General features: G+C 46.4%; 1 long non-coding RNA gene across 1 annotated transcript, besides 3 other annotated features; it reads left to right on the forward strand.

Annotated features, from left to right (window-relative positions):
* Positions 1 to 761: 761 nt before the first annotated feature.
* Positions 762 to 12,112, forward strand: LOC105376161 (uncharacterized). Its single transcript, XR_930145.4, has 3 exons — positions 762 to 869; positions 5,773 to 5,939; positions 10,606 to 12,112. It is a non-coding gene; the product is annotated as an uncharacterized LOC105376161 (long non-coding RNA).
* Positions 8,333 to 8,502: an enhancer, noted in NCBI's record as "experimental_110740 CRE fragment used in MPRA reporter constructs". NCBI's record gives its function as "activates a minimal promoter by MPRAs in K562 erythroleukemia cells, with activity observed for the non-introgressed 9:98534870 variant allele {active_cell/tissue: K562}" and the evidence as "EXISTENCE:reporter gene assay evidence [ECO:0000049][PMID:34662402]".
* Positions 8,333 to 9,381: a biological region, named in NCBI's record as "H3K4me1 hESC enhancer GRCh37_chr9:98534876-98535833".
* Positions 8,424 to 9,381: an enhancer, noted in NCBI's record as "H3K4me1 hESC enhancer chr9:98534876-98535833 (GRCh37/hg19 assembly coordinates)". NCBI's record gives its function as "activates a minimal SCP1, AML or CMV promoter by ChIP-STARR-seq in naive H9 embryonic stem cells {active_cell/tissue: H9 hESC(naive)}" and the evidence as "EXISTENCE:reporter gene assay evidence [ECO:0000049][PMID:30033119]".
* Positions 12,113 to 15,775: the final 3,663 nt, after the last annotated feature.

The following is a 15,775-nucleotide window of genomic DNA, read 5'->3' on the forward strand; positions in this document are numbered from 1 at the left end:
TCTGGGAACAGCAGGGGCAAAGGCCCCAGCAGGATGAGAATTGGCCTGTGCATGGAGAGCATGCAGGAGAAGGTGACAGAGGGGGAGGGGCGGGGAGAGTGGGGAGATGTGGCTGAGGTCAAGGAGCTGGCATTGACCCTTGAGTGTCATCGGGAGCCACTGGAAGATCAAAAAGTGTGAGATTATAGATGGCTTTTTATTATTATTTTGCTTATTTCTGTTTTATGACTGCTGTGGGCTGAATTATGTCCCCTGCAAAGCTCACGTGTTGAAATCCTAACCCCCAGTACCTCAGAATATGACTAGATTTGGAGATAGGGTCTTTACAAGATAATTAAGTGGAAGTGAGGTAATTAGGGTGGACCCTCCTAATCCACTATGACTAGTGTCCTTATAAAAAGAAATGAGGACACACACACGTTTGCACACAGAGAAGACTCTATGAAGACACAGGGAGGAAAGGACGGCCATCTATAAGCCGTGGAGAGAGGCCTCAAGAGCAAACAGCCCCTCCCACACTGTCATCTCAGATTCCTGTCCTCTAGAATTGTAAGAAAATACATCTCTGCTGTCTCAGCCATTCAGTCTGTGGGACTTTGTTATGGCAGCCCTGGCAAACTCATACAATGGCTGTTCTCCAGGATAGAAATATGTGTACACAGCCGTATAGTTACAGAACCCACCCGCCCCCTCAACCCCCCCCCCGCCGAAGAAAAACAGTAAAAATGCTTTAAAAGGATGAGGCAAAGGAGGCACCGTCAACACCCTGGAGACTCCATGCAGAAATGAAAGCTCTGTCTAAAAAGTAGCTGTAAGGATGTGAGGAGAAATCATTTTCCAGAAACAAGGATCCCCCAAGAGGAATACAGGTAGGACATTTCAGTGTCTCCGGCCTGACAAGTCCAGACACGCACACATCTCACCGTGAAGGCGGACAGTGCTCAGCACACCCAGCCTTCAGAGGATTTAGTCCGGAGAGAAGCACGCAGGGCTGCGGTGGATGCGTTCGTAGCGTAGCCACTACCTGTCTCCTTCTGATGAGTTTTGAAACTGCTTTGGAAAAGGCAGTAGAGTTTACAAAGGGCATTCAAGGTTACAAGAGGGGTGGCATCATAGACTGAGAAAGAAAGAGAAAGGACGAGGAGTAAGGAAGGGAGGAAGGGAGGGAGGGAGGGAGGGAAATAAACAACTCAAACGTTTAGCAGACAGTTTCAAATGGCCACTATGGGTGGATGTCAAAATGAGAAGGGGAGTTGTGAAGAAAATATATAATAAAACATGCACAATGGGCTAAGGAGGAGGGGCCAAGGAAGCCTGTGTTAGCCCAGGTTACTTTGCACTTGGATGTATTTAGAGTGCTGTTGGTTTGCACACAGCAGACATACTGTGCAATTGTTCTAAATATCCCCTTATGAATGGAATATGACACAGACCACAGCCATCCCCCCAAACTGTGTCCCATTAATTGTGGAATTGTGGAATTGCCTTGCTTGGATCTCAGAAGGAAAGCTCAGTTGTATCTTTTCTTTGTCATGCAATCTGACCTGCAGAGACACGACTGGAGTGAGGCTGTTAGAATTTTCTTTAATTTAGAATTTTCCACCATCATCACTTTATCTGACAGCTTGTTAGAAACCTAGAAAACATTCCCTCAGCCAGGCGCGGTGGCTCAGACCAGTAATCCCAGCACTTTGGGAGGCTGAGGCGGGCGATGACATGAGGCCAGGAGTTCGAGACCAGCCTGGCCAACATGGTGAAAGCCTGTCTCTACTAAAAATATAGAAATTAGCCAGGTGTGGTGGTGTGTGCCTATAGTCCCAGCTACTCAGGAGGCTGAGGCAGGAGAATCGCTTGAACCCGGGAGGCAGAGGTTGCAGTAAGCTGAGATTGCCTGTCTCAAAAAAAGAAAAAAAAAGGAACCATTCCCTTTCAGCAAATGCCTCAGTAGCAGCTGCCAGTGACTGTTTCCACTGACCCTCCCTGCCAGGGCTCCCCTCTCAATCTGATAACTGCTGCCTATTCCAAATTCCCTGTGGTGAAAACTCCCTCTCCCCAAATGTCTCAGAGGCTGTGGTCGGTGTTGAGTCTGGCTGGGCCTAGAAGGTTGAAGTAGAATTAAAACCATCTGAGTAAGTGATCGTGGATTGATCATGTGGTCCTAGCCGAGATGCAGTCAATTTCTGCAAGAGGGTGGGTGACGGATGCCTCCTCAGAGAAACCTGGGAGGGCTGAGGACAGGGTGAGAAGGAAAGAGTGCCCTAGCATTCAGAACAAAAGGAAAGGTGGTGAGGGCAGGATGTGCCGTCCCTTAGAAAATGGAGCGAGAGGAGCTATGGAAATTGTGGTAGGCTGACTTTGAAGATGGTCCACAATTCCCACCTTCTGGTAGATGCACCCTGATGTCATCCTTGACCTGGTATGGGCTGGACCTAGTGACTTGCTTCTGTGATTAAATTACAAATGACTGTGACTTCCACCTTGCTAGCACATACTCTTTCTCTCTTGTGGGCTTTGATGAAGCAAGCTGCCACACTGGAGAGGTCCACATGGCAGGGGACTGAGAGTGTTTTCTGGCCAACAGCTGGCAGGGAACTGGGTCCTGCCACCACTGGAGGCCAACCACGGAGCAAGCCTGGAAGTGGATCCTGCCCCAGCTGAGTCTCTATGACAGCCATGCGGGACGGGACACTGGGATCCCACACCATGATTGCAGCCTATGAGTGACCCTGAGGGAGGGGGTCCTCCAAGCATACCCAGATTCCTGACCCCCAGGAACTATGAGTCCAAAACATGGCATTCTTTTAAGCTACTAAATTTTGAAGTAATTTACTATGCAGTGATAGATAACAGTACAAACCCCAGCTGAGACTTGCATCCTCTCACCCCAAGCCCTGAGTCAGAGGCCAGCTACTGCCGTGGCAGTGTGAGCCCTCATTTGCAACACAAGAGGGTGGACCCCAGTCCCTTCCAGGTCTAGAACTCTACATACCTGCTGGCATTACCACGTAATGAGCTGTTCTCCTGCACAAAAGCCTTACCCTTTCTTGCCACTGTAGGCCCAGGCTCGGAGCTTCCAGGTATGCCCTAATGCCCAAAGGTGGGCACTGAAACCCTTTGTAAAATGAGATAAGCCGTTCTTAAATCGCCTAACATTTGTAGACTAGGAGTACCTCTGAAACTATGAAAGCAGAAGCATTTCTTGAATTCTTTTTTTTTTTTGAGAAGGAGTTTTGCTCTTTTTGACTAGGCTAGAGTGCAATGGTGTGAACTTGGCTCACTGCCACCTCTGCTTCCCGGGTTCAAGTGATTCTCGTGCCTCAGCCTCCTGAGTAGCTGGGATTACCGGCACCTGCCACCATGCCCAGCTAATTTTGTTTTTTTTTTTTTTTTCAGTAGAGACAGAGTTTCACCATGTTGTCCAGGCTGGTCTAGAGCTCCTTACCTCAAGTGATCCACCTGCCTCGGCCTCCCAAAGTGCTGGGATTACAGGTGTGAGCCACTGTGCCTGGCCTCTTGAATTCTTCTTCAGGTAGCCTCCCTGCCTTGCTCTATTTTTTCCTCTAACATTTCCACCATCTAATGAGCTTTGTTATTTACTGATTTATTATGTTCATTGCACATTGTCTGTCTCAACCCACCCACATATACTCAAAAGAAATTCTGCCAAGCAATAATCCTTGTCTGTCTGATTCACTGATGTATTCCAAGCACCTAAAATAGTTTTTGGAGCACAGCATGTGCTCAATAAATAATTGCTTAATAAACAATTGTTTTGGGGAGGCAAGGTAGGGTGTGGTAAGGACGGGAAGGTATTAGGATACAAGTCACAATAAACTTTGAACTGCGCTGCATTACAATTTTTTTATTAGGCTGGGCGTGGTGGCTCACACCTATAATCCCAGCACTTTGGGAAGCTGAGGCGGGCAAATCACCTGAGGTCAGGAGTTCAAGACCAGCCTGGCCAACATGGTGAAACACCATCTCTACTAAAAATAGAAAAATTAGCTGGGCACAGTGGTGTGCACCTGTAATCCCAGCTACTCGAGAGGCTGAGGCAGGAGAATCGCTGAACCTGGGAGGTTGTGGTTGCAGTCAGCAGTGATCGTGCCACTGCACTCCAGCCTCTGGGTGACAGAGTGAGACTCCATCTCAAAAAAAAAAAAAAATTATTAAATGTCCACACTGGATCTTAAGCACCAGTATTATGCCCTAACACAGAGCTTTCCAAGAGTTGACCCAGTACAAGTTATTGCTCCCTCAGCCCTTGGAAAGTCTGGAGCCCCTGACCAATTAATCTCAGAGAAGCCTGCTATAGATGGAATGTTTGTGTCCCCCCAAAATTCATGTGTTGAAATCCTAACCCCCAATGTGATGGTATTAGAAAGAGAGGCCTTTGGGAGGTGATTAGATCATGAGGGCAGAGCCCTCACAAATGGGATTAGTACCCCTATACAATCCCCACAGACCTCCCTTGCCCCTTCCATCGTGTGAGGTTTCAATGAGACTGAGGTCTATAAACCAGGAAGTGGGGCCTCACCAGACGCGGCATCGTGGCATCCTGATCTTGGACCTCCCAGACTCCAGAACTTTGGAAAATAAATTTGTTGTTTATAAGCCACCCAGTCTATGGCATTCCGTTAGTCCATCGGACTAAGACAGCCTCTATTAGAATCCCAAATCCCTGGCTGGGTGTGGTGGCTCACGCCTGTAATCCCAGCACTTTGGGAGGTAGAGGCGGGTGGATGACCTGGGGTCAGGAGTTCGAGACCAGCCTGGCCAACATGGTGAAACCCCGTCTCTACTGAAAATACAAAAAAGAAAAAAAATTAGCTGGACATGTTGGCGGGCACCTGTAATCCCAGCTACTCTGGAAGCTGAGGCAGGAGAATCGCTTGAACCTGGCAGGCGGAGGTTGCAGAGCTGAGATCGAGCTGCTGCACTCCAGCCTGGGTGACAAGAGCAAAACTCTGTCTCAAAAAAAAAAGAATCCCAAATCCCCTCCCATTTTCCTAGGCTGCCTACACACATTATACCTTTCTATGTGACCCAGGAAGGCTGGGAAGCATTGGCAATGCTAATCAACCTTAATTATGAAGTTCAAAACAGACCATTTGTGAATATTAGTCTGTTGATAATTATATACTGAATTGGACACTTATTCTTTTTCCTGCCTAGACTTTACTACTCTTCTGTTAGTAATAGAATGTATATTTTTCTAGAAGAGCCTTTACTTCTGTGCTCCTGAACCTCTAACAACATTTGGGCCAGGGCTAGGCACCTGACTCCAGCCTGGCCAATCATAGCTTGGACTCTTCATGGCCTCAGTGATTGGTTCATGGTGGACACTTGACTCCAGCCTGGTCAATCCTGTAGGACTCTTCTTGGCCTCAGTGAGTGGTTCATCGGTCCACTCCGGTAGACACCTGACTTCAGCCTGGCCAATCATAGCATGGACTCTTCATGGCCTCAGTGACTGGTTTTTGGTGGACACCTGACTCCAGTTTGGCCTATCATAGCATGGACTCTTCATAGCCTCAGTGATTGGTTCATGGTGGACACCTGACCCAGGCCTGGCCAGTCAGAGGATGGATTCTCCATAACCTTGCTTGTTGGTTCAGGGGTGGGCACCTGAGCTAGGACTGGACACATGGATTCCCCAGGTCACAGCAGTTGGTCCAGATTCCTGTAGGTGATCCAAGTCCAGCTGGTAAGACTCCATTTAGGGATGTTCCTTTGAATTGTTGTGAGAAAAGCTTTCTTCTTTTATTGCAGTTTCTGCAAGGAGAGAGAATAAACCTGAACCTCCAGCATCTGTCTCTGGATCATGAGGCTGCCTGATAAAAGAGCCTGCATGAAGGAAAGCTGAATGAAGAGGTGGAAAGATTGAGGCAAAGTTCTGATGACATCATCTGAGTGCCTAGATCCAGCTGTGCCTGAAGGTAGGATTTTCAGTTACATAAGACAATAGTTTCCATTTTCTTGCTTATGCCAGTTGGAATGGGAAGAGTTCTAATCCAATAATACACAGAGGATATAGCTTACAAACCAGCCCATCTCGTTTTCCTTGTCCTCAATGCAAGGCAACAAAAAGATGTCGGTGCACGTGTCACTGATGATTAAGTTAACATTGCATTATCTCTGACGGCATTCCGAATGGCACAGGGCTACAGAAGAGGAACATTTTACACAGCCACGCTCCTGATCATTGTCCCATTGGCAGAAGGACTCACCAAGCTGCCAGTTTGTCTGGTGTTATAACTGTCAGACCCTTGGTACCACTGAGCTACTTTGTAAACCTTAAGAGCCACAGCGGAGAGGACAGTCTGCTCACCTGTCCCCATATGCACAGTGTCTTAAAGATAGCAACAGGGTCCTCACCATTCTTTTTGCTTCTCAATCACTGATCTGCAGGTGAGTTGTGCGATAGTTTCTTTAGCACAAACATTAAGTCTGAGCAGCAAATAGCCCTTTTTACTCCAGATAAACATGAAACATTGGATCTTCCTGACTGAAACACCAAATCGTATATTTCTTACCCTGCACTCAGCCACTCCAGTGACAGCTACAGAGCAGGCCTGGATCCGAACAGACTGAGGTATGCGACACAGGACAGCAAAGTGGGAAGTCTGCAGTAGTGGCGCTCAGGCCTGGGCAACTGGCGTGGTGTGTGGTCCAGGGAGCTCTCCAATTACACAGCCCTCCTCTCCCCCAGATTCTGACAAGTCCCCAGGGGGCAAATGCTTTGTAAAGCTTCCCGGGGATTCCCTGGAGACCCCCACTCTAGGCTGAGAATCAAAGCTCTGAATTGCCCTTCCTGTTGATAAGCCTCATACCCTAGCGCTCCAGGCACTGGTCAGATGAGGCATGGAACTTAATCTACAAATACCTTATCTTCAAAAGGAAAATATTTTCATGATTGCCTAAGTAGTAACATGGTCATTACAGAAGATTGTAAGATACCAAAAGCTATACTATAAAGAAGAAAAAAATTTACCCACACCTTGCTAGTCTCAGCGTCATCACCACCTGGGCGCTTGTTAGGAGTGCCCCCGCTGCAGACCTCGGAATCCGAATCTGTGTTTTTCCCAGACCCCCAGAGGGTTGTGTGCCTGTTCAAGTTTGAGAAGCCCCGAGCTAATAATTCCACAACTGCAATTTAGTGTCTTTCTTGGTAGCATCTTATACTTCTATTAAAGTTGGGATTAATATTGAATAATCAGTGTTGCAATTGGAATCATTAAAAATGTGATATTAACTTTATTTTAGTATTATTCAAATACTCAGTTTGGTGTGCTGCTTCTCTCCCTGAATTGTATACAGTGTTCGCCATGACATCGTTTGCTTCTGAGACTTTCTTAAAACCCAGCTTCTCCCTTCATTCTCAGCTGGAGAATAAACCAGCAGGCGGCACACAACGGGTTAATGTCTACCAATTGCGTTAATACCCATCTAAAGGCCCGGCGGCCTCCCCAGCAAAACCGAGATTTTGCAATGTTTGCCATGCGTTTGCTTCATGTTGAGAGATGGGCTGAATGGAGGTTTCTTTGTGTTTGCGCGTATTTGTGTGTGTGAGTGTGTGTGTGTTCCCCGCAGTCTCCGTGGGTGGCCTCCTGCGGGTGAATGCGCAGTGTTCCCACTGTTGCTTATCCTGCAGGCTTTCCAAACCTCCCTCCTGCCGACAGACAGCCAGGGGAAACACATCTCTCCAAAGAGAAACCCAAAGAAGCTGCAGAAGAGATTTCTTAGTCTGTTCCTATTCAGGGAAGGTGAGGGAGCCCTCATTCTTAAAGGTCTCTTTTAAAAGCCCTGTTTCTTTTTGCACACATAGTTTTGGAAGGTGCCCAAAAGACTGTCCAGAGTGTCCCAGCCTTCTCCGACAGTGCCGGGAAACAAGAGGTGGCTGCTGCCGTTTGCAAGTATGGATGAAGGCCTGAGTGGTCCCGGGCATTCAGGGCCAGGAAGGCAGGAGGGGAGGGGCTGGGAGGAGGGGGCGCTTTGCAGGGCCCGTGTACCTGGGCTGGACACTAGGCCACAGGAGGGGCAGGAGACAGTGGAATTATTGTCTGCCATTCACCAGAGTCTATCATCTCACTTGGTTTCCCCCTACAAGAAGAACTCTCTCTCTCTCTCTACACACACACACACACACACACACACACACACACCATGCCCCCCGCCACCACCACCACGCACACAGACGCAGGTTCCTGGAACTGTTTCCCCCAGTTCTCTGCCTCAGACATCTTCACCCCATGTCCTGCCCTGATCTGGTGTTCTGGGCATGGCTCCTTTTATTGCTTTTTAAAAGGAGTCTGTGGTTTTATGAGGGCTGTTTGGCCGGCAGAGGTTGGGCTAGGCCGGGTTTTCGATGCCTGTGGCCCTGTCAGCCCAGGGAAGAGGCCGCTGAAGCTGAGCAGCTGCTCCTGAAAACAGCCCGGGACAGCTCTTCCCAGCCTCCGCCCGCTGCACTGAGCACTCCACTCTCTCTGCCCTCCGGCTGCTAGCTCCGATGGCAGCCCCCGGCCTCTCAGTAATCCTCAGCAACTCAAGCTTTCGCTGGAGTCCTCGGCAGGTGGGCGGCTGTAAAATCTTTTTGTTTGCTGCTTTGTCATCCTCTTCCCATCCCCGACCGGCAGTACCCATGGTCCAGGAAATAAACACCCAGTACAAAAACTCCCTGTTCGTATCTGGTAAATTTTCAACTAAAAAGTTCAGCGTTCAGGTGAGTGGGCTCGAGATCCAGCCGGTTTGAAGAGAGAGGAATAAAGGACAGGGTGTTGGGCGTGGGACTGGCACCCGCTGAAACCCTCATCCTGTGGGTGCCCGGTGTGGGTCCCCGCTGGCGTCACAACGTGCAGCCCACCTGCTCTGCCAGCTTCCGCGACCTTGATCTCAGCCAATCCTGTTTTGGGCCCCATCACAGTCTTTCTGTCTGTGGAGCTGGGCAAGCAGGAGGTTTCTCAGGGCCCAAGATGGTTTTTCAGATGTGAATATTGGCCAACTCCCGAAGTTGCTAGAAAAATGTAGGCAGCTTGGCCACCGAAGTAAAAGCCATCGATGGCATTTTTCCCAGCCTCAGCTGAATTCAAACCACTAAACTCTTGTGGTTTATTTTTTTTACAGCTTTCTTAGCTAACAGGACTGGATGCCTTTAAAAAACTTTTCAAAATAATATTTTGGAACCTAGCATTATTTGGTTTTCCCTCTGTAAAGGCTAATCTATCATAATTTCCCCATAGCTTGCTTTGCGGAAGAGGGTGGGTGAGGGACAAAGGAAAGGTAACATGCTAACCAAGACAAGCGTAGTGTGAAGGAAGGGCGGGCCCTGTTCGGCCTCTGCCCAGCAGAGTCACAAGCTTTGTGGGCCTCAGTGTCCTCCTCTGGAGAACAGGAAGAATAATACGACAGCCCAACTACCTTACAAGACAGTTCTGTGATTAGGCTGATGTTCGTCAGAACATTTAGTCACCGTAAAATGCTACACAATGTGAATTATTGTGCTTTAACAAATAATTTGAAAGCAGTATAAAGTGCTTCTAGACTTGCAGATATCAAGAAAGCTGGATATCTGGGTTATTCATTCTCGGTTGGCAAAAGGTGGTCCCTGCATGATCAGCCCTACGGGCCCCACATATTCTTTTAAGGGCTCAGGCTTTTGGAAGGCTTCTCAGTGCAGCAAGCATGAATAGTAAGGGCTACGCTGCGCTCTTTACTTACTTGTTTTTGCCTTAAACCATCACAGTTACCACAAGGGTTAAGGATGCAGGTAGCATTGCAGACAGACTGACAGAGCTTTGTGTTCTGGCTTGGCCAATTAGCTTAGCTTCTCTGAGCCCAGTTTCCTCATCTGTAAAACAGGTATAACAACAACAACAACAACAACAATAATAGTAATCAGCTGATACAATTCTTGTGAGATTAAAAGACAACATTCACAAATTGCTTACCAGTATGATATCTTGCACATTGATTAAATGAATGTAAGATAATGATGTTGATAATTATTTTAAGGAATTTGAGGGAGAAAATTCCCACCTACGAGTTCCTGTGCACCTAGTGGTGGGACTTTCTCTTGGTCATGCATTCATTTGACAAGCATTTACTGAATACCTTCTGTGAGCTCTTAGGAGATCAGAATATGCCATCCTCAAATACGAAGGATTGTTCAGCTGAAGACGATTAAGAAGCAGATGCAGGAACCCTTTAGACTTCCCTCTATTTGCCTAAAAGCAGGACATAGATTTACAGAGACAAAGAGTATTCCTGCCCAGGAGAGCAAAGGTTAACCAATGAAGACTGCTTTAGACTCTCATCAGCCTGGAGGTGATACAGAGGACTCTACTTCACCAGCTGTCTAGCCAGCCTTTGTCCGCCATGGATTTGCCTTCCCACAAGTTGCCTGCAGAGACTTACAGTCCTTTTCCTTTGTCCCTTCTCTAAAAATGTGCTATTCTTTGTTGAGGATCTTATATAAGCTGGGAGTCAAGGCCACTTCTTGGAGAATGATTCTGGATACTTCTCTGGGTATCTCCCATGTATTTATAAAATACACATGTTAATCAACTTCTGTTTGTTTTTCTCTTGTTTATCTGTCCTTTGTAACAGGGGTTCATTACAACTAAGAACCTACCGGGAGTTACTCTTCCCCTACAAGATCCAGAATGCCTTTTGGTTTCCTTTAATGAAGCAGCAGCCTGACCAAGTCCTACCCACTGCTCTAATACTGAGATCTCCAGCTGCAGTGCACAAAAGGAAAGTGAACACAGGGAAAGCTGGGACTTTGTTGAGGGTCATGGAGGAGTGGTTCCGCGGGATGCCAGGGGTGTGGGAGCAGAGCCTTGGCATTTGGAGCAGGTAGCCTGCATGGTGAAAAGTGATGGGAATAGTGCTGCATTCAGATACAGGACGGACTGCAATAGCAAAGAGACTCAATGTGGTGGCTGAGAACCAAGTTTATTTATCTTACTCAAGGATGGAGCAGGTGACCCAGCACTACAGCGGTGGCTTGATGGCGGCAAGGAGCCAGGCTCTCCACCCTGTTACTCCACCTTCTCCTAGGGGATTCCTTTGGTCCAGGTGGCTCCCTGACATGAACAATGCCTTCACAGTCCAGCAGGCAGGAAGGAGAAAAGAGTGAGGGAAGGCGCAACCACTCTTTTGAAGGACATGGCCTGGAACTTACCCAGCTTCCTACCTTAACTGAGTGACATGACCACAGTTAGCAAAGGAGGCTGGGAAATGTAGTCTTAATGCTACGTTGTCCTGTGACCAGCAAAAATGCGGGGATTTCATTATTAAAGGCAGAAAGAGAGAATGTTTGGGGGACAACAAGGCAATCAAAGGGATAGATTAGGAGGGACGGCCATATCGTCATCCACACAGCAGAGGAAGACAGTGTTGGGCACATAAGGGAGAGTGGAAAATGTGAAGGCAGAAATCACAGCTGATGGCGGTGGGGACGAAGCCGCTGACCACTGAGGACCCTGTGATCTGGATGGTAAAGAGGGTAGTGTGATAAGAGGCCAGCAAAGACAGGGACCTGGGGTTCACTGGGACGTTTTGCAGGGTGCTGCAGCATGGTGGGCACACTGACTATGTGGGATTGTAGAAGAAAGTACGGTTTGGGGACTGGCACATCAGCACCTCAGTGTCTTTTCTGGGAAAATCTGGTTCTGTCTGGGATTTTTCTCTGCTATGTGAATTCCTTGCTCATTCATTATGGGGTCACTTCATTGATTTTCCACTCTTGTTTCTATTTTTTTATATGACCTCTTCTCACTAATCTCTACTGCCAATTGTCTCAATGTAACAGTATTACCAAGAGGTACCATTGGACTACGGACTTTCTGAGGTGTTTTAGTTGTGACCTTGACTTGGTTAAAAAGGATGGGTGCAATCACCTTCCAAAATCTCCAAATTTATCATCCTAAAACCTCCATTTGGGTGGTTGAAAACTGCAATATAAAGTCAGACAGATTTAAACTGGCATGAAACAATGTAGGGAAGGCATATCAGTACACTTAAAAAACACTTTTATAGTTTTCATCTCCATCCTCAATTTGATAGCCCCAAGCTAAAAATGATTCTTATAAACATCTGCTTCTTGTGTTTATTATGGTTTTGGATTTTTGTGCCAAGAATATGCATGACAGGGCTGCCATTCTTTTCAGCCAAATGTATCTGAACATGTGTTTCTGCATTCTCATCTGTTTCTCTGTAGAGAAAACATGCATTGAACCAATAGCATGTCTGGAGCAGTATCTTATGATTTCAACAGCTTCCCTCTGTGATCCACCAAACAGATATTCATGGTGGGCACTCTGTGCTCTCAGCCTGAATCTAACTCTGCCAAGCCATAGTTCTTCAGCTCAGATATGGATGGTGTCAACAGGGGGTCTTCCAGGGTTGTTAGAGCCTGCACAGCCTGGAGGAAGTGCAGCATGTCAAGTGTGCCTATGCAAACTCAGCTTTAATCTGCTAAGAAGTGATAGAGCTTATTGTGTTACAGGAGAATGTGGCCTGCCATATTGATCCTCAAGCACTGAATTATCAAGAAATGTTCAGTAGCAATGAATATGAAGTAAGTTACCTGGGTTCTGGCTCAGTCTTATCACTCAGAAAACTTTGGTAGGTCATTACACCTCCATGTGTGTTGCTGAGAATAAAGGGCCTGGATTTGATGCACATGTAAACACACAATTACAGTATTCTGTGTGAATTCTAGATTGGAGGTTATAGGGCTACAGACAAATTAGAGCACCTAAGTTGGGATTTGATGCAGCAGAGCAAAGCCTCTCACATTCTGGCATGTCAGGATGCCCTACACTCACTCTGTAGTGAAACTGTCAGCCAAAGGATGTATGTCCCAGCAACGCTGACAGTGTAAACATAAAAACTATAGAGACTGAGATGGCAGACGACAGAGGAGTAGAAGTAGAAAGAATTGAAGGTATGTGGCCTGATGACCCTATCTTACAAAGCAGGGAGACAAGAGATTTCATCTTTAGTTGATGGAAAAAGAAATAATGGAGTAAATAAAACTACATTGACCAACAGGAACAATAGAGAGACTACAATGGTGATGAACCTTTATTGGCAGGAAGAATTAAGGAGAAGTAGTGGAGAGGCTCAAGGGAGCTGAAGTCAATAGACAGTGCCTAAAAATAGAAACATTTTTCTATTTTTAGTGTTTAGAGATGTGGAAATAACCACTTAAAAGGGTTTGCCTCTGGAGCAGGGCTGAGGAGGCATTAGGATTTGTTCACTGCTTTTCTTTATAAGCTCTTTGTACTGATGGAGTTTTTAAGTCTTGTTGCATTGGTTAGAATTAAGTGTAGTAGCAAGTGACAGAATGCTGCAAATAACAGCTTAAATAAGAAAGATGTTTATTGTCTTCTCATGTAAATTTAGTTCAGGGATAAGCAGTTCAGGACTGTTGTGGTGGCCCTGTTGTACAGAGCCCTCAGGGCCCTAGGCTTCCTCCAGTTCAGGGCTCCACAATGCCATCCCTAGGCTGCCATCTTCATCCTCATGGTCCAAGATGGCCACATCTGTGTTCCAGGCAGCAGAATGGAGGAAGACGGGAAGAAGAAGGCAAACTGGGCACAGGCCCTGGCATGCTGCCCCTTAGACAAGGGTCCGGGAAGCTGTCTCATGATATTCCTTCTTACATTTAATTGGCCAGAACTTAGTCACATGGCTACACCTAGCTGCAAATGAGCTGGGCAATGTAGTCTTTATACTAAATTTCTATGTCCATATTTTAAAAAATTACTATAAAGGGGAGGATATATATTGTTGGAGAGTTAGCCACCCCTGTTACACTCACCTTTATATAAATAACAAAAATCATGAGCATTAACAATAAGGTTGTGTTTTCATAAAAAAATGCTGGAAAAGAAAATATCAAAAACTAGAATGGATTGATAGAAGGAGAGAAGAATGGGTAGATGAATGGATACACGAGAAGGCAGGTATGCTGGAATGATCACTGGGAAATCTAGGTAGGCAGTGAGTATGTCCACTGTAAAATGTTCAACTTCTCTGTGTACTTGAAAACATTAATAATGTTGGGAGAAAATAGGTTTAGGGAGAAAAAGAGCAATTATTTTTTAAACTATTTTTGAAATTCACAGCATGTCTGTCCTGAGGAGTTGGTTTTGCCCATCACTCTTCTTTCCTCAGCCTTCCTTCAGAACTCCTCTGGTTCTTCATATCCTGACTTACTTCTCCTACACCCAGTGCCCCGACTCCCTCCATTTCTCTGCCCCTTTATGTTCTGGCTTCTGTCTAGGTCTATGTCTAAGTCTTAATACGTGGCTTCTGGTGCCTCTGGCTGGAGCTACCCCCTAGGCTATACCTGATCCGAATATGAGTCAGAAAGAGTCCTGGCCCTAGTGGCCCAGCTCACTGGAATGACCACCTGGGCAGGCTCCCCTCCCCCTTCCCTAGCCGGAATAATTAAACACAGTATTTTGTTCAATAACTTTGAAAAAAATTTCCTTCCTCCCTCCCTTTCCTCCTTTGTTTTGTGACACTTAACGTATAGCAGCTATATCATAGCTTATAGAATGATGAAGGAAGACAGTGCTAGTTCTAAGATACATGCACTTTATAAAACCATCAGCATAACTAAATCTCAATGCAGGTCATGGTGAGGTTATGGCCAACCATTCATTGAGTCAATGAGTATTCAATGCTTACTATGAGCCAGACACCATAATGTCTGTGGACATTGATTCATTCTAGACACCAATCATTTGGGAAGCAACTTAGTTTCCCAATGAAAGCTGTAACAAGGCCTGCTGATACACAATCTTTGGGGTGGCACTGTGGCTGACCTTGCCTGATTAGAGGTCCTTTCGGGAATTTGGTAACTAAGCACCTTGGATGGGGGCCAGGGGGCCTGTGCTAGAATGCATCTTCCTCTGCAGGGTTTGTGCTGACAGCCACATGCCATTACTGGACTCAGACCACCTGCCCCTAGTCATTGCACAATCACCTCATGATTCAACCTCGCAGATGTGTTTCATGCTTGGCAAAATCTGAAGCGAGCAAACCATGCAGACTCTGTCTCTCTCTTTGCCTTTCCAGTTAGATGCAACCCAGTTCCTTGCCTAAATAGTTCATCCATTTAGTCCATGTCAACAATCACCACTTACTTTCTTGATACTCTCATTTATATGACTTTGGATAAACTTGTCATTGCCCAGATGAGTCTTCCCTTATGTTGAGACATCCCATGCTATCCTTTCCTTTTTATTTTGCCTTTGAAAATATTTAGTATGTGGCCTTTGTGCAGTGTTTTCTGCCTAGTATTTCCAAACTGCCATTTCTGTAGAATTCAGCAAGAAGCAGAGATGAGAGAAAATAAGGAGGGAAAGGGCAAAACAAAGCCAACTGTTTGGGTGAAAAACAAAAAGGCCTGCAGTCTCCTTAGCTAGCATTTCCTATCAGGAACAACACATGTTGAATTACTCACATTGTCTTGACTTTCTAGGTAATAGCAGTAAAGCTTGTCAATGATGGGAAGGTTGCTGAACACATCTGCCCCGGCCATCTGGCCTAAGTGACACTACTGGCCTCTTTATGCCCCTGAAAATATGTTATTTATTTATTTATTTATTTATTTATTTATTTATTTATTTATGTTGAGATGGAGTTTTGCTCTTATTGCCCAGGCTGGAGTGCAATGGCATGATCTTGGCTCGCCGCAACCTCTGCCTCCCGGGTTCCAGCGATTCTCCTGCCTCAGCCTCCCGAGTAGCTGGAATTA

Source organism: Homo sapiens, chromosome 9 (genome assembly GCF_000001405.40).
Source record: "Homo sapiens chromosome 9, GRCh38.p14 Primary Assembly".
Classification (NCBI taxonomy): Eukaryota; Metazoa; Chordata; class Mammalia; order Primates; family Hominidae; genus Homo; species Homo sapiens.